Raw genomic sequence first — 25,263 nt, 5'->3', positions numbered from 1 at the left:
TGTAAGGACTGAAGGTGAAGGTCTTGGCCATCTAGGTTCAAATGAAGTTTTGCTTTTACCTTCTTCTTTTTTTTTTTTTTTTTTAGGCAGTCTTGCTCTGTCACTCAGGCCGGAGTGCAGCTGCACGATCTTGGCTCACTGCAACCTCTGCCTCCTGAGTTCAAGCAATTCTCCTGTCTCAGCCTCCCTGGTAGCTGGGATTACAGGCGCACACCACCACGCCTGGCTAATTTTTGTATTTTTAGTAGAGGTGGGGTTTTGCCATGTTGGCCATGCTAGTCTCAAACTCCTGACCTCAGGTCATCCACCTGCCTCGGCCTCCCAAAGTGTTGGGATTACAGGTGTGAGCCACCGTGCCCGGCCCGCTTTTACCTTCTTATGGGTGAGAGCCCATCTCCAAGAACAGAAAAGTATCTTGGTCCTGTCTATTTCTGTAGCATGTCTGACCTCAAAAGCGAGTGTGTGGATTCGTCACCCGGCCTCTCCTCCCACACTGCAGAGAGAAGATGCAAATAACTCAGCTGCCGGTGGGGGACTCCCCACCGCTGGATGTGATGCTCTTGCCTCCTCTTCATGGCTGGTTTGGGACCATTTTGCAAGTGTAGGCTTGAGCATTGCCTTTCTCTTGTTTTTATGATGGGTGAGAGGGGGGAGAGAGAAAGAAGGTGGGGGGGATTCTATAGCCGGTTTCCTCCCTCTAGTTTCTCCCTCACATTTGACCTTTTTATACCCTGGTATCATGATGATTTCTACAAAGCACAGCCCTGATTGTGACTTCTCCCTGGCTCAGAATCCACTGATGGTTTCTTCTCCTTTATAGAATCGAAATTTCTTAGTTCTTGGTGTCCTCATGGCCTCCCATGATCTGATGCCATCCTTCACTACTATATTTCTCACCTCCCATGCCTCTTAAACTCTAATGAATGGATCCACCTGCTTTTCCCCCACAGCCTCTACCCACACGGTTTCTCTCTCACCTTGGCTCAGGCTGGCCCCATGGCCTAGAATATTGCCCCTGTGGCTTGTTCTTCTGACCCATCCTGCCCAATCTCTCGCAGGAGCCTCTGTTTTCCTCTGTTAAATGAGGGCGATCATAGAATTTTCCTTTTTGGTTTGTTAGAGGGATTAAGTGACATGAAACATGTGAAGCATAGAACAGCGCCTGGTCCAAAGTGAGTGCTCAGTACAAGATCCTCACAGCCACTCCTGCAGCAGATTGAAACCCAGCAATTAGAGAGGGAGGAAGAGTCCCCCCAGCAGCCACGTCAGTAACTTTAGGAAGGAAGAGATGGGCCCTGCTGTCAGGCATGTAAGAGAAAAGACCAGGAAGGTGGGATGCGGACACAGAAGGAATTGATATGTCCAAGGGAAAGGCACATTGTCACCCCCTCTGGGAGCCCCAGAGGGTGCCACACCCCTAAACGGAAAATCCCTCGATTGACATTAGGATGCTGGCTGTGTCACCTCGGTCTCCCCAAGATTGAACGCAAGACGAGCCATGGTGAGTGAGTCCTGCTATAGGTGGCCAGCCTCGTCGTCTTTATTTATTTATTTATTTTTGAGACAGGGTCTCACTCTGACGTCCAGGTTGGAGTGCAGTGGCATGATCTTGGCTCACTACAACCTCTGCCTCCCGGGTTCAAGTAATTCTCCTGCCTCAGCCTCCTGAGTAGCTGGGATTACAGGCGCCCGCCACCATGCCTAGCCAATTTTTTGTATTTTTAGTAGAGATGGGTTTTCGCCATGTTGGCCAGGCTGGTCTCGAACTCCTGACCTCAAATGATCCACCTACCTCAGCCTTCCAAAGTGTTGGGATTACAGACGTGAGCCACCGTCCCTGGTCCCACCCTCATCTTCTAGGTGGGCTTTCTCTTCACCATTGCCAAGAGGCTGGGGCAGCTTCCCTCTGGGTGTACATGGAGAGCCTGAGGTGGTGTATCTCATGAAGCGGCTTATGGGTCACAGGGTCTTTTGATCTAAACTATCTCTGTGGGTCTTGGGGGCTTTTTTTTTTTAATCATGGCAAAATATGCATGACATGAAATCCACCATCTCCATCAGTTTTAAATGTATAGTTCAGTGGCTTTGAGTATACCCACGTGTTTGTGCAGCCATCATCACCACCATTAATCTCCAGAATGCTTCCATCTTGCACCAGTGACACTCTGGACCCATTAAACACAAACTTCCCATCATTCCCTGCCCACAGCACCTGGTCACCTCCATTCTGCAACCTGTCGCTATTAATTTGACTTCTCTAGGTGCCTCATAGAAGTGAAGCAAATGGTATTTGTCCCTTTGTGTCTGGCTGTTGCACTGAGCATAATGTCCTTAAGGTCCATCCACATGGTTGCATATGTCAAAATTTCCTTCCAATTAGCCAGGCATGGTGGTGCGCACCTGTAGTCCCAGCTACTTGGGAGGCTGAAGCAGGAGAATCGCTTGAACCCAGGAGGCGGAGCTTGCAGTGAGCCGAGATTGCGCCACTGCACTCCAGCTTGGGTGACAGAGCAAGACTTCGTCTCAAAAAAAAAAAAAAAAAAAAAATTCCTTCCTTCTTAAGGCTGAGTAATATTCTATTGTGTTTATTTTACTACGACTTGCATTGTTTCCACCTTCTGGCTCTTGTGAATAATGTTGCCATGAACAGGCAGCAAGACCCTCCCTTCAGGACTCTGCTTTCAGTTCTTTTTGGTATATACCTATTAATGGAATTGCTGGACCATATGGCAATTCTTTGTTTAATTTTTTTGAAGAATTAACACACTATTTTCCACAGGGGCTGTACTATTTTACATTCCCACCAGAAGGGCACAAGGGTTCCAACAGTTCTCAATCCTTACTAGTACCTGTTCTTTTCTGTTTTGTTGATATTTGTTTATTTGTTTGTTTTGAGACAGAGCCTTGCTCCGTTGCCCAGGCTGGAGTGAGAGTGGTGTGATCCTAGCTCACTGCACCCTCCGCCTCCTGGATTCTCCTGCCTCAGCCTCCCAAGTAGCTGGGACTACAGGTATACACCACCACGACTGGCTAATTTTTGTATTTTTAGTAGAGACGGGGTATCACCACGTTGGCCGGGTTGGTCTTGAACTCCTGGCCTCAAGTGATCCACCCGTCTTGGCCTCCCACAGTGCTGGGATTACAGGCATGAGCCATTGTGCCTGGCCTTGTCTGGTTTTTTTTTTTTAAGAACCTGTCCTAATGGGTGTGAGCTAATATCTCACTGTAGTTTTGATTTGCATTTCCCTCATGATTAGTGATATTGAGCATCTTTAAATGTGCTTATTGGTCATTTTTATATCTTCTTTGGAGGAATATCTTTTGCTCATTTTTTTAAATTGGGCTGTTTGCTTTTTATTGTTCAGTCTGGACTCTTTTTGGACCCGGGGTAACTGCAGTGCCTACCTTTCAGCCACTGGTGATAGTAACAACAAAAATCCTAGCTTTCATTGAGCATTTACTTCGTCCACTAGGTGAAATGTTTACATGGATGCCCCACCCCCACCCCCTTTAATCTCTCACAGCAATCTTTTGAGAAAGATACTGTGATCATCTGCATTTTACACTTGGAGAAATTGAAGCTGGAGCCGTTGCCCAGGGTCTTGGAGCTAGTATGTAGTAAAACAACAGCTTAGCTCTGGTCTGACTCCATCCTTAGACGATTGTACTTATTTTCTTCCCCCGACCCAAGGAGCTGGCATTGAAACCTCTTCATAAATAAGTTTATCCATTTGCTTAATAGGGAACCACTCGGTCCTCAGGATCTTGGTTTCTCTAGAAAACCATATTTAATTCTATATAAAGAATCAGTTCCTAAAACCCCAAAGGTTTGCATCTGAAAGCAAACACAGAAATATGCGGCATTTTGAGTGCTAAATAGTCAGCTGCTCCAAAAACCTTTCTAAACGGAGTGATAGGATATATTCATGAAGGATCCAAGCCCTGCCCAAGCTCATTTAGTTGGTGGCTGCAGTATTGCTCTTGGGGTCCAATCCTTTCTCCACTTGTAACTAATGACTTTGTGATCCTCAGGCCCCTTTCAGTGGAGACCTCACATGAGCCTGTCTTTGTTCGTTATCTGTCCAGGTTTGATGGTGGCGAGGGCAGAGTGAAGGCAAGAGACCTTCATCTCGCCCCTCTGGAGGCACCAGCTTTCCACACAGTGGTTCTTTGGGGGAACATTCTCCGTTCTTTTTATGTTGGTTTTTATCTGGCCTTGGGTTCACACAGCTGGGGCCGGGGCCGGGGCCAGGACCAGAGCTGTGACTTAGGGTTGGGAGGAAGTTGGCCAAAACATTCTCCAGCAGGGCTTGGGCAGGCCCAGGAAGTCCCGCCTAAAACACAGTGGACAAAGCTGCCCTTGTCCACAGGCCTGGGGGTGGGAGGCATCTGCTCAGTGACACAAGCTTGGCCATTGTTTGTTGTGACCTCAGCCAACGTTTTTTAGCTGAGAAAGGGGAAAAAGAGGGAGAGTGGGAAAAAAAGAAAGGCCTCCAGAAACATTGCATCTGGAAAGTCCAGAACAAGTTGTTAATTTCCCAGCAAGCACTGGAGCGGATTTGGAAGGAACTATGCAATGTAGTGGGTTCTTTGTGAAAGAACAGCAATGAGCAAAGCCACAGGAACCTCCGCTGGGGTGCCCAGAACACTGGCCCTGGGCTAGCGACTTGCCTCAGCCCCATTTCCCGGAGAGGCTGCCATGAAGAGGAAGCCGGCGGAGTCTTGGTGCTGAGTCTGAGGGCTTCAGGCAGGACCCAAGACTCTCCTCTGAGGTAGCAGCCCCCAGAGAAGGTTAGCTGTTCTCTGATGGTAAGAATTGATTTTTCTTGCCTGCAGATGTATGCTCCAGTTTGCTTTTCTCTGCATGTTTCTAAAATGACTGTGCCATGGTAAAGAGGCAGCTCTGAAAACTGAGATTTGGGGTCTAACTGCTGAGCTGTGGTGGTCTGGGGACCCTGTGTGCTAGGGGGCACCTTTCACAGATCCAAGGCATGAGCAGGGAGGAAAAAAAAAAAAGACGTGGGTCATTGTGTGAGAGATCAGGAAAAGCGGATGGGAGGAGGAGAAAGATTTATGAAGGATGTCTTGGAGAGAAAGGAAGTCTTGGCTCCCCTAGTTACCTGGGGAGCAGTTTCGTAGTTGGAGCTGTGTGATGGAGAAGCAGAGTGGTGATGTGATTTTAATGGAGTCCAAACCTTGCTTCCTCCATGTAACTTTTTCCAAGTAAGAAACTTGGATTCTACCCACCTATCTGGCTTTTACCCCACGGCCCAGTTCTAGCTGGGGCATTGTAAGGCAAAAGCCATTTGAGGACTATAAAACTTTATGAAGGTAAGTGGGAGCTCCTGGGGTCATGGCTCCCTAGCAGAAGTACCTGCCCAGTAATGCACTGTGCTTCCAGGCTTGGCTGAGACATCTTTCCAGCTTGGTGGTGGAGGCTGCAACAGTGATGATGGAAGCTCTTCTGATACTTAGCAGTACAACAGCCTTGTTTCACCAATCTTTCCACCCCCAGAAGTTACGCATCCATCTTCTTTCTTTGCAAAGGAGGACCTCCAAGAGAGTGGTGATCACTCTCTTGAGGCTCTGTACAGCTGTGAGAGGTCCAGGTTGCATGGAAAGGCTGGCCTGTTTTGGTACATGGTCTCCCTCCAGGATATGCTCTCCCACCTCCCTGGGCCCATCAGCATCTCTGATTCTGGCATGGCTTCCTGTTCCCACAGTGCCAGGGGAAGGGAGATGGTGCTTGTTATCCAGGAGCATCTCTAACGGGTTAGTTGACCTAGGACCGTCCACAGCAGTGCTTCTCAAAGGTTAACGTGCATCTGAACTACCCGGGAACCTTTAAAATGTAAGATCCGGTGCTGGGGCAGGACCTGGGGCTCTGCATTGATAGCCAGATCCCAGAGAACTTCATGCTGCCCGTGCGGGGGCCACACTTGGAGATTTGCTGCTGTGAGGAACCCAGACCAATCACTCAAGTTCTGACCAAGGTGTGGCTGCCTTGGGTCTGACTGTAGGGCACAGGGAGTTCTGGCAGGCCTGTGTGTGGATCGTGGTTGGGTGCTTCATGGGGGTGGAGGGAGTAGCAGAGAAGAAGAACACTGAAGGGCATGCAAGGAGCTGGGAAGAGCCGAAGTCAAGCTCTTGGGAAGAGGGCGTGTGGGGTGCAGAGGCTGTTGGTGGGCTGCCCCCAAGCTGAAGTGGGCTGTGTGTTAGGGGTGTAATGTGAGCAGTCAGCCAGAAGTGCTAACTGCTAACAGGCCCAGAAAAATTCCACTGGAACCCGCCTTTGGTGCATCCAGGGTGATGCAGAGACAGAAGCCCAGGATTCCAGGGCAGAAATCCAGTTGCTAGGCAAATAGAGCTAAGACCACTCACGTGGCTCGGAGGAGTGACAGGGAAGAGGTGGACGCATCAGGACAGAACTCAGTGTGGTGAGAGGTGGAAGCACAGAATCCTGGGTGCAGTAAGGCAGGATCCTTGGTGTTTGGGGCACAGCCCACGTTTCAGGAACAGTCAGATGCCTCCTAGACATGATGCCCATGTCTACACTTGAATGTGACTTTTTTTCTCCTATTAAAATGGCATGTCCTTAAAACATATATACTAATGCTGACATTTAGAATTATTGGGCCGGGCGCAGTGGCTCACGCCTGTAATCCCAGCACTTTGGGAGGCCGAGGTGGGCAGATCACCTGAGGTCAGGAGTTCAAGGCCAGCCTGGTCAACGTGGTGAAACCCCGTGTCTACTAAAAATACAAAAATTAGCCAGGCGTGGTGATAGGTGCCTGTAATCCCAGCTAATTGGGAGGCTGAGGGAGGAGAATCGCTTGAACCTGGAAGGCTTAGGTTGCAGTGAGCCGAGATCACGCCACTGCACTCCAGCCTGGGTGACACAGCAAGACTGTCTAAAAAAAAAAAAAAGAATTATTAAGTATTAGGCTATATATATGTATATATGAAAGCCCTTGGAGACCATCTGGTCCAACTTCCGTGTTTTAGAGATGAAGCAATTGAGGCCTCCCAGCAGAGATGGAAGAGGTTGCTCAAGATCTGCCAGCGAGACTGCTGCAGCTTTACCAGCTCCGATTCCCATCCTGTGTTCTTCGCACGGTGGCACAGAGCAGTGGTAGGTCTCACATCTCCATAGCAAGGCCCTTGGCTGTCACCATTTGCCTACTTTATATGTGCCAGCGGCAGCAGCTCCAGAAATGTTAGTTGAATCGGGTTGGTGAGAATTGCACCCCTTACTGAGTCTTGGAAACGGTTCCAGCCCTTATTAGACTTCATTTCCCTCCAGAGCTCAGGGTTCAGACCTCATCAGGAACCATCTCTCGGAGTCAGAAGTCTTTGATTAGAATCACTTGGAGCACAGGCCGTAGGCACTGCAGTCAGTGGAATGAGTCTCCGTGTTGGGGAAATGAGCTGCTTCCATTTTCCTTCAGTGCCTGCAGGCCACTCCAGCCAGCAACTGGTGGCCACAAAGCCAGGCCAGCTGGATCGCAGGTGCAGGCGGGCCGTCAGAGGCACCTACTCTTATACCATAATGAGCTTCAGTCTGCCTTCTTTACAACAGCACTAATTCCCCGAGGAAGCCAGCTTTTGCCCCCCGGTGCATCTGCGGGCAGCAGCTGTGTCGCTTGTGCTTGAAGATCCTTTCTGGTGAGCGGGCTGCTTTGCATGAGATACTGAGCCTGTTACTGATCCAGCTAGCAACTTTGGACTCCCTCCCTTGCTTCTGAACTTAAATCCATTTTGAATGCAATAGGACGCTTGGTAAATTTGGTTCTGGGGTTTTCCTCAGAAGTCTAGAAAGTGCCCAAAACAATGACATAAGGCATTTGGGGGCTTTGCAGCTTAATACTAAAGGAAGGCTAGGGAGGATAGTCTCTCTGTCTCTCTCTCTCTCTGGGCCATACCAAGTTTGGCAAAACTCTCTTGTTCCCAGGCTTTTTCTGCTGCAAAGGGAAGTTGACCAGCAATCCTTTAGAGGGGCCCTCACCCTTCCAGGAACTCCCTAGGGAGTCTGTTAGGTCAACAATCTACAAAATGTCCTTCAAAAGTGTTTTCTAGGTCAGGACAAGTGATATCGTTATAGATATCAACTAGCATAGAAAACCTAGGATGCATGTCAAGATCATTAATCTTTAGGACGAAGAGAAAAGTACTAGCTCAACTCCTTCCTTTGACAAATAGGGACGTTTCAGCATTAATTGGCCGTAACAGGGACCTGTGGCAAAGGGGAAGAGAATCCCCAACTGTTCAGCCTCCCCATACAGACCTGAGGTCATGTGCACTATCGCATACCGTGATTTGGGCATGCATTTCATTTCCAATTTTTGGTATATCACTTCGCTTTGTTGGTGTCTCAGACAAGCCTTTCTTTCCCACCGATTCTAAGTCAGATTTGGTTGAGTAAATGAAAGGGTATCTAGACCAAAAGAGTTTGAGACCTCTTTCTCTTTAGAGCCCAAAAGTGTTTGGAGGGAAGCTTGCAGCGAGCAAAGCAATATTTCATCAAGATTTGTGTCTTGTCAGGCCTCTGTCGTCTCTTTTGTTTATGTGGCTGCTGTTTTTGGAAGCTGAGCTGGACATTTAACTGCCTTGATATTTTCCTTGTGGTTTTAGGCTGTGTTACAAAAGCCGTCCCATGCATGGGTTATAGGACCTCAAGGCTAGCAATCCCCCCATTTCACAGATGAGGAAACAGAGGCCCAGAGAGGCTAAGATAATTGCACACATCACAGCTTGCTGTCTGGGAACACAGCACCTCTTTATGCCTAGGCCTTTGTGCTGTCTCCTAATGCTTTTGTCATCCTGAGTTGGGGCTAGGATATCAGAATGGCCCACACTATTTTTATTCTGCTAGGGAAGGGGGAGGAGGAAAGAAGCAACATTCCTCAACAGTTCATCAGGAAATGGAGAGTTTGAATAAAATGTCTCTGTTAATCAAAAGCCAGCGAGCACAGTCATTCAGGTTTTCTGGCTTGGAATCCAGAAGCTGGAACCGGCTATTGGGAGGAGTCTACCTTGTCATTTAATAATTACATTTTTAATTGTGCTGAAACATCAGGACCAGAGAGACCTTGAAATGGAACAAAATGTAGGGTTTTTTTTTTTTTTTTTTTCTGAGGTTCCCCAACCCCTCCAGGCTTCAAGGCGGGGAAGCAGTCCCTGCTTCCCTTGTTATTTCTGGAGCTGTTCTCTGTATTTCAGGGGTGCTTGTGGGATGACACTCCAGGTCCTCCACCCCAGATCCTGTGGTTCTAAAACACAGTCATAAGGCCTTTAGGCACCTGCTCCAAACCCGTCTATCAGAGGCCAAAAGAGTGACTCTGATATTTGGTGGCACAATTATGCTGGTTCGTCAATGCCGAGATTCTTCCAAAACATGCTGAAGAGTGGGCGTCTCTCAGATCCCCATCATGCCGTATGGCGCCGCTGGGGAGATGCCACCAACGAAAAGGACGGGCCATCTCAGATGCAAGAAACATGCTCACATTCAGAGTTTTCCTCATTTCTTGCATTGTCTCCTCTGGAACCCTATTAACTGGCCCTTCTGTCTTACATTCGTACAGCAGGTGCAACGACCATAAAAATCTCATTCTCCAGAGTCAGAGGAGGAAGGGTCATGCAGGAATAGGGGTTCTGCAAGGCCCACGTGGAAGGCATTTCTTTCCTACCCTCTGCCGACAGCTTGATTCTCAGATGCTGCAAGGCTGTGACATGACTTCTGACCCAGGAGGGGCCGTCCAACTCATCCTTGCAGTTTGCAGGATCATTTGCAAATCTTTTCATCAATCCTTGTCCCCCCGGAGACTCCATATTTCCAGCTTGGCAAGTTTCCCTGTGAGGGTTGATGGGTGAACTTCCTGTATCCTTGCTGCAGGGACTGCGTTGTAATTATGTTCATCAAAATTCCTGGTTAACCAGATCACTCCATTTCTTTACAGGGTCAGAAAATACAGAGTCTATTGTTCTGTGTCCTCTCCCTGCCCAGTCTTGACAAACATACCCAATGAATTGACTGGCCCTCAGGGATGTGCTGGGGGTTTGCAGGGTGGCTGTGACCCTTGCCAAGCCTACCAGGAGCTGGATAGGTCTGGAGTGTCCCAAGTGGTTCAGCCTTCAGGCCCATGGCTGGGAGAAAACTCCCATGGCCCTAATGTCTACCTCTTATGATGGGTGCCAGTGACAGCCACAGTGTGAGGCTTCCTCTTGCCACTTCGTGGACAGAGGACAGTGATGGTGTTGGGGAGGAAGTAGCTAATGCAGATGAAGAAGAGTATGCCGGACACTCCATGGCGACTGGAGTTGCAACCTGGTTGGGGAGCCCAAGCGAGTCACTTTTGGATTCGTCCAAGGAGGCTGGTGGGGGTGGGCGTCTGATGTGAGCAAGTGGGATATTCAAGCCAGCGAGGTGCTGATGATTGCTGCCACATACATTGTCACCCCATTCATCTATCTACACCAAGTAGTGAGGCCTGAGGACACTTGGATAGTGCCAGGTTTGGAAGAGGCCGGAGGACATTTGCATCTACTAAAGCCTCATTTGAGAAGTTTCTTTTAGGGACTCAAGGAGGCAGCCCTGCTCACTAGGTGATTTCTAATAAGAAGGGTTTGAGGTGACACACAGAGGACTCTGGTAATACCTCCGACAAATTTTGCAAATAGAAAACTGGGAGAAAGGAAGGCGACCCTCCTGGCTCTTGTGGCTTCTTGCTGGTGAGAACTGCAGGTGTGCCTCATGCACCTGACCCCCTTTTCACACGGGTCCAACCACAGTTCCACAGGACATGGTCATGCTCAGGCCCAGGCCCGAAATTAGCCGCATGCTCTTCTCTGTATTTTGGCCCTGAGAACCCTTTGAAGGCTTACAAAGCCAAACAGGTGTTTCAGATGAGGTCTTTGGAAAGCCCTGGGTTCCTACTGATTTTTCCTTCATCCACAAAGTACTTTGGTCCCAACCTATCCACCTGAATGGATTCCAGGGCTCAGGATTCCCCCTGGAAGCTGACTGCCCCCTCGGGGCCAATACAACCCGGTAGAGGTAAGACTCAAAAGACTCACAGCACCAGGGATTTGGGTCTCCAAGGCCCCTTCCCTCTGTTGTGTTCCTTCAGGTTGAGAACCTGTCAGTTTCTAGGAAAAGACAAGAGTGGACATGAGAAGCAAGGACAGAGGATGGATGCCAACTGGTCAGGTACCTGATACCTGATATTTGGCAGGAGGGACAACAGGACACGGATGCTTCACTATGGGGACGGGAGGAAGGTCAGCGTTTTGTTTCCATCTCCCTCGGTGTTCTCATGATCTCAGTGTTCCTCCTGCCTCTTGATCTCTTCTAGTATATATAATTATAATTATTATTATTATTGTTTTTTTTTTGAGACGGAGTCTCGCTCTGTCACCCAGGCTGGAGTGCAGTGGCATGATCTCAGCTCACTGCAATCTCCGCCTTCTAGGTTCAAGCAATTCTCCTGTCTCAGCCTCCCTAGTAGCTGGGACTAAAGGTGTGCACCACCACGTCTGGCTAATTTTTAAATTTTTTGTGGTGATGGAGTTGCTGTGTTGCGCAGGTTGGTCTTAAACTCCTGGGCTCAAGTGATCCCCCTACCTTGGACTCCCAAAATATTAGGATTATAGGCATGAGGCACCGCACCCAGCCCTTTTCTAGTACTGTCTATATTTGAGACTCAGGTTATAATTTCATTTTTTTACAGTATATATTGAGAATAGCAACATGTATACATGATTGTATAACTAGAAATGCATAATTACGTATGCATTTCTGTAAGCTGCTTTCAGCGTTCAGCCTGGATCCTTTTGTGCCGTGATTTCGTCATTCTTCACCTTTATTTGTCTTGCTCTTTCAGGCAGTTGAAGTACATCTCTTAAGTACTTCTGCTAAGGAGGACATGAGTACTTGTCTCTAGAAGAATATGTTTCTGTTGCCTTCCCTTGTGAAAGACAGCTTGGCTACCTTGAAGTACAATGAAGGTCGTGGTATTTTCCCCATCATGCACCGGAGATGTCTTTTGAGATGTGGCTACAGAGAAGTTTGAGACCAGCCTTCTTTTTATTCTTGCACTGGTCTTCCCACGTAAATGATTACAGGACTTTTATCCTTATCTTTGCTGTGTAAATATGTTGTTAGGGTATGTCTGCTGGTTGGTTTTTTGAAATCCACTTTGCCTTGAACAGCGTAGGACGTCCCGTGTGGCCCAGCTCTGGAACTTTCCTCCCCATCAACCTTTGTTTATTCTTTCTTTTCTGTTAGAGCTTTTCTGCTGGTCTCCTCTTCAGGAACACCCAGTATCCATGTCTTGGTTTGCTGTTCTGTCCTCACGTTTGCATTTTTCCCATTTCCTTTGCATTCTGGGGAAAAAACAATTCTCGTTTGTTCTGTACATAACGAATTCACTTTGTTTTGCAGTATTGATTCCATGTTTTATTGCAACCAATGTGCATTTTCCTTCTGTTACAACCTTTCAAACTTCCCTATAATTTTTATCATTTCCTGTTCCTTTTTTATATCATTTTGGTTTTTTTTTTTCAAACCAACTTGCCTTGTTTTGTTCTCTTCTTATGAGTTTTTGTTCTTGTATCATAATGTCATATCTTCCTGCCCTTTGTTGAGGTTGCTAGATACTTTTCTGAGATGTTTCTTCTGGATACTATGTGAGATCCTGATGAGAAGTTTGTGTTTCTCTTGAGGCTTCTAGGCTTCTGGATGTTCTTCCTCTATCTATTTTCTGCAATAAAATAAACAATACATATTATCTTGCCTCCCCCTTCCCCATTTGTGCAGCTCTTACAAAATACCTGAGACCAGATAATGTATGAGGAACAGGAATGTATTTATTTATTTGAGACAGTATCTCACTCTGTCGGCTGGAGTGCAGTGGCACAATCATAGCTTACTGCAGTCTCTAACTCCTGGGCCCAAGCAGTCCTCCCCCCTCAGCCTCTCAAGTACCTGGAGCTACAGATGCGTACCACCATGCACAGCTAAATTTAAAAAAAAGAAATGTTAAGGCCGGGCGCAGTGGCTCACGCCTGTAATCCCAGCACTTTAGGAGGCCAAGGTGGGTGGATCATGAGGTCAAGAGATCGAGACCATCCTGGCCAACGCGGTGAAACCCCGTCTCTACTAAAAAGCAGAACAAAACAAAACAAAATACAAAAATTAGCTGGGTGTGGTGGTGCATGCCTGTAATCCCAGCTACTTGGGAGGCTGAGGCAAGAGAATTGTTTAAACCTGAGAGGCGGAGGTTGTAGTGAGCCGAGATCGTGCCACTGCACTCCAGCCTGGCGACAGAGTGAGACTCCGTCAAAAAACAAAACAAACAAACAAAAAACCTTTATTTTTGGAGAGATGGAGGGGCGGTGGGGTCTCACTATGTTGTCCAGGCTCTCCTTGAACTCCTGGCCTCAAGCAAACCTCCTGAGTAGCTGGGATTATAGGCACAAGCCACGATGCCTAGCTCAAGAACAGGACTTCCTCACAGTTCTGGAGACTGGGAAGTTCCAAGATCAAGGTGTCGGCAGGTTCTGTTGTCTGGTGAGGACTGTTGTCTGCCTCCAAGATGGCACCATGTTGCTGTGTCTGCCAGATAAAGGAATAGCGTGTCCTCACATGGTGGAAGGCAGAAGGACAAGCTAGTGAATACCGCGTGAAGCTGCTTTGATAAGAGCCTCAATCCCACTGAAGGAGGCGCCCTCATGGGCTGATCACCTCTTAAAGGTCCCACCTCTTAATCCTACCATGTTGCCAACGCCTGAGTTTTGGAGGGGACACATTCAAACCATAGCAGAGTCCATTCAATAGATCCATTAAGAGCTGGGATTTGTTCACAGATGGGGCACACACACTTTCTCTAACTCCCACTCCCATTCCCTGTCTGCTTATTTGGTAAAATAGCCTCCTCAAATATTTCTGAAGCCTAGTTCCTACTATAATTCTCAGTTTTCATTCACTCATTCATTCATTCATTCATTCATTCATTCATTCATTGTTCTGGGCACTGTGCTGAGATTAAAGCTGTGAAAAGAGGGATAGGGACATGGCCCTGTCTTCCCGAATCTTATAGTCTGTTTCTTTGTTGATATGGCAGCTCTCCCAACCTCCTCCTTCCAGGCCAAGTCTCTGAATCTCTGACCTTTAGAAGAAAATGAAGACTCTGCCGGGGTCCAGCCTGTCTCCTGCATAACTACTGGGTGAAGACTGCAGTCCTCAGGATGTGTTGTGACGTTGCCAGGGGTCCCCTACTATTTTCTGTGCACTGAAATTTCTGAGTATGGCTAGAAAGGCTGCTGGAGTTGGGGAGCGCAATACTTTCACCTGTGAGACAGGAAATGCGCCCAGTATTCTTAGAGACAGACTCTGGGGCTGGTGATGTCACTGTTGCATGATTTGTGTCTTAACCCAGAGCTGGAGGAGAGTATCCTTCTCGGGTAGCTGTTCCCAGCTCTGTGTAGGAGTCTGCCCACCTAAACAGGTGTCCACCAGGAAGGCATGACGTGGGAGTGAATTGCCAGTCTCCAGCCCTGCTGGGTCTTGATCTTCCTGGTGGGCTCTGGCAGCCCCATTAGTAATTGGTTGACTCCCTGAGGAGTGCAGAGCTGGCAGTGGGGCCACTCCTGGCTGCTGAGTCCAGGACTACTCCGGGACTCAACCTTCCCAGGCGTGCCCAGCCATGCCCTGGCTGCTTCTGGGTGTCCAGCTGCCTCCGTGGTTGGGGAAGAGAGAACTTGCTGGAGAGTCCTTTGTGGAGGAGCCTTCAAGCAGTGCCAATCACGGCACTGGGCTCATTAGCAAGCATTGCCATAGCAACGGGTCTGCCAGAAAGTGGCTCGTTAGGCTGACAACTTCAGAGCTGTTATATATAGATCTGGGTGTGGGGGGAGTGGGGGTGTGGGGCCCTGTGGATATGCTTTTCTTTAGAGCTCCTATTGCTTCTGGGTTTGGGGTGTGAGAGGATGCAGAGTGGGAGACCTTAAAACCGTCTGATCTGGCTGCTAAAGCGAGTGTCTGACGACCACCCATTAACACCAGCGAGTAGCGTTTGCTCACGGCTTTAGGATAAGGTAAGAGTCAGGTGTTCTCAGAAACCTCCGGAGGGGGAGAGAGTCCCGGAGGTGGAGGTGGCATCCGGGTTGAACTTGAGCTTGAAGCATGGTGGGAGCGGTAGGGAGCGGAGTAGCAGGGTCTGTACTGCCTGGAGGCTGCAGAGACAACCTCCACCGTCTGTTAAATAGTTTATTTGAAGGGTTTGGGGCAATGGAACAGAATCTTTTTCTTTAATAAGTCACTGTGCAGCCCAACACTGTCTTTTTACAAATCATGCTTATAAAAATTCTATGATCTCAGTTTTCATTTCAGAAGTGATGTTTTTTCTCAGTTGCTGCCTCTAATGCTGCAACGGAGTGGCTTTAGAGCACAGGACTCACCCAGGATCACTGTGACAAATGCAGCCTCCCAGGCTGCTCTGGAGATTGAGTCAGGCCCCAGAGTGTGCACTTGAACTCACATCCCAGGTGACTGCTGGGGTGGCCCACGGTGACCATACTTTGAAAAACACTGCTGTGGGGGGATTTGTTTTTGATCTCTGTAATCTCTGGGTGACTTTGCTTGCCTGCTTTTTTTTTTTTTTAAAGGAGGAATCAGTAGCCACCATTAAGGGGAAAATTTTGGGGGTTGCGTTGTTTTTTTAAATAAAGAGACAAGGAAGTCAGCCTACAGCTAGGGAACGTGACGGCCTGGACGCGGGCGGTGATATTTTTGCACATCATATGCTCACTTGGGGACTGGGAGACAGGAGGATCAGGCTTGAGTTGTCATCCTCCTTGGGAAGGAGCTGGGGTGTCAGGTGGTCTCAGTGAGGAAATGGAGCTGAGTAGGTGTAGCTGGGGAGAGATGTGGCCCAACTTTAAGGTAACTGGATAGAAGTCTCTAGAACAAAGCTATTATTTTAATTAATTAATTAATTAATTTTGTGTAGAGATGGGGTCTTGCTCCATTGCCCAGGCTGCCCTTGAACTCCTGGCCTCAAGCAATCCTCCTGCCTCGGCCTCCCAAAACACTGGGATTACAGGCATGAGTCACTGCATCTCGCCAGCTGATATTTTTAAGCAGTTTGTTTTTACCATTAACCGTGCCACACTGGGCAAGTTATTAAACTCTCTGCGTCTCAGATGCCTTGTTTTAAAGCGGGGATAAATGCCATCTATGAGGCAGGCTTGTTGTGACGAGTAGCTGATTGTCTAAAGCACCCAGTCCAGTCTGGCATGCATTATAGATATTTGGTGACTGGTAAAAAGTCATTATCGATGGGTACAGATGGACCTGGGCTCAGATATTTCTCGAGTCCTTTCTAGAGTAGGGTTCTGAAGTAGTGTAGAAACCTCCTGATATTACTTATGAAATAGCGTGTGTGTGTATGTGCACCCATTTTAGGGGACAGAAGATCCATAGCCTTCCTCAGATTCTTAAAGGATGCTCTTTCCATATATATCATTGAGCAGGTTGCCTACTGAACAAGGAGGCCCAGGTGAGGGTGGATGGAGAGGGACTGAAGCCTGTCCTTGCAATCTGGCCAAGGGATGGTCCCTTCCAGAGGAAGAGGCCGCGTTTTATTATTCCCACAAAGACACCCTGTATTAGGTAAAGAATTTCTGAGTTAGAAAGAACTTCCTTCGTTTTCCCCCACCCCAAATCCTGCTACCTCTGATCTTGTTCCTTCCAGGTGGGGTCTGTCCCCAGCCCCCGGGCCTGTGTCACCTCTGCTTCCAGTACAGTTCCCACGGGAAAGTGCTGACAGAATTGAAGGGAAAAAGCCACAGGACTAAGGAAGAGAAGGGAAGGATTTAACTTGGAAGGAAACTAATTAGAAGAATAAGATTGAGAGAGACCTTAATTATTGGGTGGTTATGCACACTGTGTCCTCTGGATGCCTGGGGGCCGGCTGCTCTTGCCCCTCTGTGGCCATGAAGGGTGAGGTAATGCTGGTGCTGTTGGCCCTTAAGTGAAGACTTGAAGGTAGGAAGGTCTAACTTCTGCCTTCGCAGAAGGCAGAAAAAAGTTTTTTTATTTTTTTATTTTTTCTTTATTTTTGAAACAGAGTCTCACTCTGTCACCCAGGCTGGAGTACAATGGCGCAGTCTTGGCTCACGGCAACCTCCGCCTCCCAGGTTCAAGTGATTTTCCTGCCTCAGCCTCCTGAGTAGCTGGGATTACAGGCACCTGCCACCATGCCCAGCTAATTTTTGTATTTTTAGTAGATGCAGGGTTTCACCAGGTTGGCCAGGCTGGTCTCGAACTCCTGACCTCAGGTAATCCACCCACCTTGGCCTCCCAAAGTGCTGGGATTACAGGTGTGAGCCACCGTGCCCAGCCAAAAAATTTTTTTTTAATTGTGGTACAATACACATGACAAAATATTTACCATCAGTGATATATTTATGTATTCATGATATTGTGCAACCATTACCACGATCCAGTTCCGGAACAGTGTCATTACCCCAAAGGGAAAACGTGTACCCATTCTCCCCTCCCCAGGCCTCTGGAAAAGACAAATCTGTTTCTGTCTCTATGGCTCTGCCCATTCTGGGCATTTCATATGCATGAAATCATACAATATGTGGTCTTTTGTGTCTGGCTCCTTTCACTTAGCATAATGTATTCAAGGTTTATCCATGTTGTAGCATGTATCACGGCTCCATTTTTTTTTTTAATTTCTGAATAATATTCCATTGTATGGCTGTACTACACTATCCATCCATCTGTTGATGGGGGATTTGAGTTGTTTCTACTTTTTGGCCATTACGAATGATATTGCTGTGAGCATCCATGTACCAATTTTTGTCTGACTGCTTGTTTCTAGGTGTTTGTGTCTATACCTGGTTGTCTCCATGTCTTTTGACTTTTAAAGTCAGCCATCAGGAGGAACTCCTTTCTAAGAGAACAGAAAGGTGATGGGACTGTGGCTGCCTCGGGAGATGGAGGCAGAGTGCGGCCCTGCAGGAGGGAGATGTGGAGACCATCTTTGCCACATCAGCCACATTAGGAGATGGGCCTGGTGGCCCCAGTGCCCTCCTCCCCACCTCTTTCAGCATCTCATGGCCCTTCACGGCTCAGTATCAGGGTGCCTCCCACCTTCTGTAAGGTCCTGAATTTCCTCGTTGCGGGAGACCTCGTGGTCATCAGTGCCTTGCGGAGAAGGGACGGCATCATTATTGCTCTTTCCTGGGTGGGACACTGAGGTTCACAGGTTGGGTCCACTGGCTCTCCAGCTCCTGTAAGGAGTGGTCTCCTCACTGCCCAGCCCTCTCACCAGAACGCACTGGCCAGCTCTCAGGCTGTTAACCTCCCCAGCAGGTGTTTGCCGTTCAAGTCGGGTAGTATTGGAAACAGAAACCTCAGAGAAGTGACTGTTGATGCTGACATTTCAGACAGAGGGATGGTGAGGCTAGGGTGGAGGTCCGTATCGCCGTAGACGGACTGTGTGAAGCCCTTCCAGTGGAAAACCCCATTCATTGCGCATCCCTCAGGACAGGCGCTGCCCTAGGTGCTGAGTTACGTATTGTTACCCTCTCCGTCGTCTTCCACAACTGGGCTCATATTATCACCCTTCGTTTCACAGATTCGAGAATAGCCTGGTGAGTCAGTAGCCTGTGGTCACATGGCTGTCAAGCGGTCCAGGCAGGATTGGCACTGAAGGCTGTTTGAGCCTGAGGGCTGTTTTCGCTGTGCCTGTGGGTTCCTGTCTCCTGCACCCCTTTTCTGACCATGTCAATATTTGATCCTTCCTATTTCCTCCCAAGTTATTTGGATAAGTACCAATATGGCTTTCCCATGTTTGATTGAAGGAGAAACTAGAATATTTCACTCAAGGGGAGGACACCTGGCATCTTGCCCCTCTGGTTCTAGAATCTCTTTCATCAAACACTCATGCCTGTAGTTGTATTTTTTTGTTCTTTGTTTTGAGACAGGGTCTCACTCTGTCACCCAGGCTGGAGTGCAGTGGTGCGATCACAGCTCACTGCAACAACCTCCTAGGCTCAGGCAATCCTTCCACCTCAGCCTCCTAAGTAGCTGGGACCACAGGCGTATGCCACCACACCCGGCTAATTTTAAAAATTATTTGCAGACGGAGTCTTCCTATGTTGCCCAGGCTGGTCTCAAACTCCTGGGCTCAAGCCATTCTTCCACCTCGGCCTCCCAAAGTGCTAGGATTACAAGCGTGAGACATTGCACCTGGCCCTAACCCTCAGTTTTAATCCCCTGACCCCCCACCCATGCCGACTTTATTTCTAATCCTATTGGACAGAATGTTCATCTCCTGTGCATGGGATACTTCTCTTTCTCTCAACATGCACGCGCGCATGCACACGCACACACACGCACACATGCACGTTGTTATAATCCTATTTGTCTTGCATATATTTTGGCTATCTTCCAATCCTGGAGAGTCCAAAGCAGTGAGAGGGCCCAGGTAAACCTGCCCAGATGTGGGCTTGTGCTTACTGGACATGCTGGTGAGACAGCAACCTGCGACCCTGGTGGGATGCCACACCGTGTTGATCCTGGCTGCTGTCCACCTCACTGTCTCCTGCTGTCTTAGAAGACAGTCTTCCATACGGAATCAAACGGGCACTGCAGGTTAGCAGGTGTAGGAGATGGAGCGTCCAGGGCATAGGGGAAAGCTTTTAATTAAGTTGTGAAAATGCATTGTGAAACTTACACCGCAGCTACGCAGAGGGCAGAAGGGAGGCTGTGTTTACTCAAAGTCCCCGAGCAGCTCAGATTTACTCGTTCCCTCCAATGACATGCAGGGCACTACGGGAAGCCACGGCACGTGGTTTTGCAACCTTCACAAAGCGTGAGAGTAGCCTGGGAGCTGTGTGTCTCTGCTGCTCTCTTTCATTCTGTTATCTTGTTTTCCTAAGCGGGGGTCACCAGGGACCACCACTATGGGCACAGCTGGGGGATACTGAGGACATTTGGGAGCCGATTACCTTTACTGTTTGTGAACAGTCCCCTGGCTTTGCTGAGAAATTCATGGCTACTCTCTTCGTATGGCTACAATTCTGATTTTAATCAATTTACTTCAAAAGGCACAGCAATCTTACGGGCTAATTTGGACTCTCTGTCCTAATTTTAAAATGTTCTTTAGCTAACAACTTTTATTTCTGTGTTTATGGGAGAAAATTTAGGGGGAACAGATATGTAGAAAGGAGAGTATAATAATTGCCTGTAATCCCAGCACCCAGGGATCGTGGCTGTTTTTTGTTTGTTTGTTTTTATATTTTTGTTTGTTTGTTTTGAGATGGACTCTCACTCTGTCACCCAGGCTGGAGTGCAGTGGTGCGATCTCTGCTCACTGCAACCTCCGCCTCCTAGGTTCAAGCAATTCTCTTGCCTCAGCCTCCCGAGTAGCTAGGACTACAGGCGCACACCACCACGCCTAGCTAATTTTTTGTATTTTTAGTAGAGGTGGGGTTTCACCGTGTTGCCCAGGCTGGTCGCGAACTCCTGAGCTTAGGCAATCCGCCCGCCTCGGCCTCCCAAAGTGCTGGGATTACAGACGTGAGCCACTGCGCCCGGCCATGGTTGTTTTTTTTTTAGCATCTGTCTACTAGATATCTAGTTTCTTTGTATGTCATATACATTTTTCTCTGATTTGTTTTTTAACGAAAAGTAATTCTATACATGGTTAAAAGAATTAATTGCACATAAATGCATACAATGGGAAGTCAGCGTCTGCTCTGTCTCCGAGTCCTCGTTCTTTTTGCCAGAGTGATCTGGACCCTTGGCGAGAGAAGCTCCATCCAGCTCTTCATGGATTCTCAGCATTATTATAGAATGTTTTGCATCTGGCTGTGGGATGACTTGCATTAATTACTTCTGCTAGGTTTGCACAGCAAGCCTGGGGCCTTGTCTGCTGCTGTGCTTCGTGGTCTGGGAATTTCAGGCTTCAGATTTCACAATGGGAGGTGGTGGAGTGACAGGGCCCCCTTGCAAGCTCAGCACCCCGTGAGTGATTTTCTAGGGGGCCGTGGAGAAAGTCTAGCTCCATTAGCTGAATGGCATTTTCCTCTCTGCTCCCAGAGGAGCTGTCCTCTGTGCAGGGGCTCTGAATGCTCAGGTGCTTCTCACTGCTCATGCTCACGCAACCCCGGAGGTCACGTGTGTGCTGCCTCTGACCTCAGGGGTTTATGGGCCGCAGACTTCCCAATGTCACGCTACTGTAGGGTGAATTCATCAGCCTTTGCCTTCCTGGTTTAAAAACTCTTGCAAAAATGCCAAATGGGTGTGACCTTTTCTTTCTTCTCCAACAGAAGCCTGGAATGGTCCCCCCTCCGCCGGGAGAAGAAAGCCAGACGGTCATCCTTCCACCTGGCTGGCAGAGCTACCTGTCGCCTCAGGGCCGGCGGTACTATGTCAACACGACCACCAATGGTGAGTCCCGCTCGGGGGAGAATCCTGCACCAACCCCCTGGCATTCTGGCTCTCTAGAGGGGCACGTTTTTTCTCCCTTCTTCGCCTCTCTGTTTGGGGGTTTTTTCTTCTTAAGTCTATGCTCAGGGGCTACAGTAAAGTCTTACTCCTCCCACTGTGCTGGGTGGTAGGGGTGCAAGTCTGGGTCTGTAGTTCTGGGAGTATCTTGGAAGGAAGGCTGCCCTTTATGGTTTGAGTCTTCCTTGGACCCTGACGTCCACCCTGGGTATCTGTGTTAAACCCAACCTGTTCGTCTGGGGCTGGGTTTTCTGAAGGGTGTCTCAAAAGGTTCTATGGTCAACAGCTGGCTTGAATAAAATGAACGAGGCAAAGTCACTGCATGATGTCTTGGAATTTTGAAGGTTTTAATGATCTTGAAGCTTCAATACAGGGGTTGCAAATGCGAGGTTTCCCTAATTTCACTACAACGTCATCTTTTTCCTTAAGTATCTCACTGGCTGGCATTTCTCCAGATGTTTTTTGGGAAATGCCGGGGGTGCTTATGGGTTATTTATCCCATCAAATAGTACAGGTTCCATGTGCATCTGAGTTGAATAGGACCACACCTCAATGACCCCAATAATTAGGGACCTCCCAGGCCTTCAAATGACCCCAGGATCCCCAGAAGTTTGCTGTGGATGGTTTATAAAAGGGGATGCACCACGTGGCAGGTTCTGTAACAAGGTGAGCAAAGGGCACTGTTGCAGGCTGTGGTCTTGGGCAGGGCAGGACAGGGTAAACCAGCTGAACAGAGCTGTGTCTTGACCTCCGTGACTCCCCAGAGAAATTGCCATGAGAGAACTGAGAGGATTTAAACCAAGGAAAGTTAGATTTAGTGGGAATCACAGACATGCGTTCCAAGGCAAAAGATGAAAATCGTACCCAAGTCCACTGCTGGCTCAGCCTTGGCCTCTCACTCCTCTGTGCCTGCCTGACTACATGACCACCCCTTCCCACCTGGGGGTATCGTTACTACAGCTGATGTTTATAAGCCTGCACCAGGAGGGGGTCCTAGTGACAGGGGAGCCAGCTACTGTTTAGCAGAGACACAAAGAAGGCAGCTGGTTTATTCGTATCCCCTGGCAACCTGACCTTCCACAGGCTCAAGAGGGGTGTTCTAGCGCAAGAGGTAATGAAGTTTCTAGGAAAAGGGAAGTAGGACTATTTCTGACCGTTCTAATCTTACACTTCCTCAAAACAAACACATGAACAGCTTTGCACTGTTACCGGAGACTTGAAATTTCAGAGGAGAGTGTGTCTATGTATGCAACACCCATCTGCCAAACACAGAATTTGGACCGTAGGATCATGAGATCATCAATTATTTGGGACAACATTGGATCCAAATTATTGGAAGGTCAGGTTGCTAGGGGATATGAATAATTTGGATCCGTTATTGTCCCAAATAAGCTACTCTATTGCAAAGGGGCATGGGGGGAAATGGCTTTCTGAATTTCAGCATCTTTATCTTTTTTTAAGTTAGAGACTAGTTTGTTTTCACGGTAAAAAATTCAGTAAGTACAAAATGATTTCAAATAAAAAATAATCCCCGGTCTCACCTTTTAAACATATGTATACTTATTCTTTTAAAATAAATTGGAAAATATTGTCTATGTTGTCCTTTAAGTTACTTTGACAGTGTATGTGGACATCTTTCTATACTTTGTACATTTCAGTCTAACCCATTCTTTTAAACAGCTGTGTAGTAATCCATCGCATGGGTATGCTATTAATTTCACCTGCACTCTATTAATTTAAGTCATATTTTATATCAATAGACAGTGTCTGGCAGCTTTTTTCTGGGACTCAGACTTTAGCAGATGCCACTGGTGACAGCTTTCTTATGGGTCCTGAGATATTGTGATCCCACAGAGGCTCCAGGCCAGGGGTCAGTGAACTTTTTCTGTAAAGGGCCAAGTAGTCAGTATGTAGGCTTTGAGGGTCACATGGTCTCCATCCCAGCCACTCAGCTTTACTGTTTCAGCATGAAAGCAGCCCTGGATGATAGGTAAACAAATGAGTGTAGCTGTGTTCCAATAAGACTTTATCTATGGATCCGAAAATAGGAATTTCAGATGACTTGTGTGTGTTATAAAATATCATCGTTCTGGCCAGGCATGGTGGCTCATGCCTGTAATCCCAGCACTTTGGGAGGCCGAGGCAGGTGGATCACTTGAGGTCAGGAGTTCCAGACAAGCCTGACCAACATGGTGAAACCCCGTCTCTACTAAAAATATCAAAATTATCCGGGTGTGGTGGCGGGCGCCTGTAGTCCCAGCTACCCGGGAGGCTGAGGCAGGAGAATCGCTTGAACGCGTGAGGTGGAAGTTGCAGTGAGCCGAGATCACGCCATTGCACTCCAGCCTGGTGACAGAGCAAGACTCCGTCTGTCTCAAGGAAAAAAAAAAAAAAAAGTGGAAGATGATTTTCGTTGGCAAGTTCACTGGGCCATATGATAGTTGGTTTGACCAGTTGGTCCCTTGGACCATAGCTGCTGGTCCCTGCTTCAGGCTGTCTGTTGGCTCCACAAGGACTTGTCCTATTTGCCCTTCCTCTCTTTATTTATTTATTTATTTATTTATTTATTTATTTATTTATTTATTTTTTTAGACAGGGTCTCACTCTGTTGCCCAGGCTAGAGTACAGTGGCACAATCATGGCTCACTGCAGCCTCAACCTCCTGGGCTCAAACACTCCTCCCATCTCAGCCCCCTGAGTAGCTGGGATTGCAGGCATGTGTCATCACGCCCGGCTGATTTCTTTATTTTTTTATATTTTTTATTTATTTGAGACAGGGTCTCACTCTGTTGCCCAGGCTAGAGTGCAGTGGCACGATCATGGCTCACTGCAGCGTTAACTTCCTGGGCTTAAGTGACCCTCCCACCTCAGCCTCCTGAGTAGCTGGGATTACAGGCATGTGCCACCACACCTGGCTTTTTGTATTATTATTATTATTATTATTATTATTATTATTATTATTATTATTTTTTGTAGAGATGTTTTGCCATGTTACCCAGGCTGGTCTTGAATTCTTGGCCTCAAGTAATCTACTGGCCTTGACCTTCCACAGTGTTGGGATTACACTATGCCTAAAAACAGTTTTTTTTGTTTTGTTTTTTTTTTTTTTTTTTTTTTGGTAGAGACAGGGTTTCAGTATGTTGCCTAGGCTGATCCCGAACTTCTGGCTTCTACTTCTGCTTCCCAAAGTGCTGAGATTATAGGCATGAGCCACCGTGCTCGGCTCTCTCCTCTTTTATGCTAAAAATAATTCCAGCACCTACCTTGGTCTTACATTCTAGATATATGCCAGTTTTATTCATTACTTGTTTAACTCTTTTTTTTTTTTTTTTTTTGAGACGGAGTCTCGCTCTTTCACCCAGGCTGGACTGCAGTGGCGCGATCTCGGCTCACTGCAAGCTCCGCCTCCCGGGTTCATGCCATTCTCCTGCCTCAGCCTCCCAAGTATCTGGGACTACAGGTGCCTGCCACCACACCTGGCTAATTTTTTGTATTTTTAGTAGAGATGGGGTTTCACCGTGTTAGCCAGGGTGGTCTCGATCTCCTGGCCTTGTGATCCGCCTGCCTCGGCCTCCCAAAGTACTGGCATTACAGGCGTGAGCCACCGTGCCCGACCTTAACTTATTGTTTATCTGTTTGATTGAATCATTCCTTCAACACATAGTTTGAGCCTCAAATATGTACCAGGCAGAGTGAGTCTTGGGATACTGGGGATTTAATAAGAACAAAGTCTCTGCCCT

The 25,263-nt window shown here is 47.9% G+C and overlaps 1 protein-coding gene across 12 annotated transcripts in view, besides 4 other annotated features; it reads left to right on the top strand.

Annotated features, from left to right (window-relative positions):
- Nucleotides 1–25,263, top strand: part of GAS7 (growth arrest specific 7) — a 288,001-nt gene that overhangs the window by 157,364 nt on the left and 105,374 nt on the right. For 6 of the 12 annotated variants that reach the window (NM_201433.2, XM_011524044.4, XM_047436955.1 and 3 more), the window contains exon 2: nt 21,346–21,466. In NM_201433.2, the coding sequence (NP_958839.1) occupies nt 21,346–21,466 (121 nt within the window). Of the gene's footprint in view, nt 1–4,585; nt 4,810–7,005; nt 7,133–14,205; nt 14,224–14,957; nt 15,094–16,651; nt 16,670–21,319; nt 21,467–25,263 lie in introns of those variants that run through there. The other 6 variants (XM_005256831.5, NM_201432.2, XM_047436956.1 and 3 more) reach the window with 6 other exon arrangements.
- Nucleotides 7,008–7,507: an enhancer, noted in NCBI's record as "H3K4me1 hESC enhancer chr17:9937053-9937552 (GRCh37/hg19 assembly coordinates)". NCBI's record gives its function as "activates a minimal SCP1, AML or CMV promoter by ChIP-STARR-seq in naive H9 embryonic stem cells {active_cell/tissue: H9 hESC(naive)}" and the evidence as "EXISTENCE:reporter gene assay evidence [ECO:0000049][PMID:30033119]".
- Nucleotides 7,508–8,009: an enhancer, noted in NCBI's record as "H3K4me1 hESC enhancer chr17:9936551-9937052 (GRCh37/hg19 assembly coordinates)". NCBI's record gives its function as "activates a minimal SCP1, AML or CMV promoter by ChIP-STARR-seq in naive H9 embryonic stem cells {active_cell/tissue: H9 hESC(naive)}" and the evidence as "EXISTENCE:reporter gene assay evidence [ECO:0000049][PMID:30033119]".
- Nucleotides 14,190–14,694: an enhancer, noted in NCBI's record as "H3K27ac-H3K4me1 hESC enhancer chr17:9929866-9930370 (GRCh37/hg19 assembly coordinates)". NCBI's record gives its function as "activates a minimal SCP1, AML or CMV promoter by ChIP-STARR-seq in primed H9 embryonic stem cells {active_cell/tissue: H9 hESC(primed)}" and the evidence as "EXISTENCE:reporter gene assay evidence [ECO:0000049][PMID:30033119]".
- Nucleotides 14,695–15,200: an enhancer, noted in NCBI's record as "H3K27ac-H3K4me1 hESC enhancer chr17:9929360-9929865 (GRCh37/hg19 assembly coordinates)". NCBI's record gives its function as "activates a minimal SCP1, AML or CMV promoter by ChIP-STARR-seq in naive and primed H9 embryonic stem cells {active_cell/tissue: H9 hESC(naive and primed)}" and the evidence as "EXISTENCE:reporter gene assay evidence [ECO:0000049][PMID:30033119]".

This window comes from Homo sapiens, chromosome 17 (genome assembly GCF_000001405.40).
Source record: "Homo sapiens chromosome 17, GRCh38.p14 Primary Assembly".
NCBI classification, from domain to species: domain Eukaryota; kingdom Metazoa; phylum Chordata; class Mammalia; order Primates; family Hominidae; genus Homo; species Homo sapiens.
This window is presented reverse-complemented; position numbering and strand designations above follow the sequence as displayed.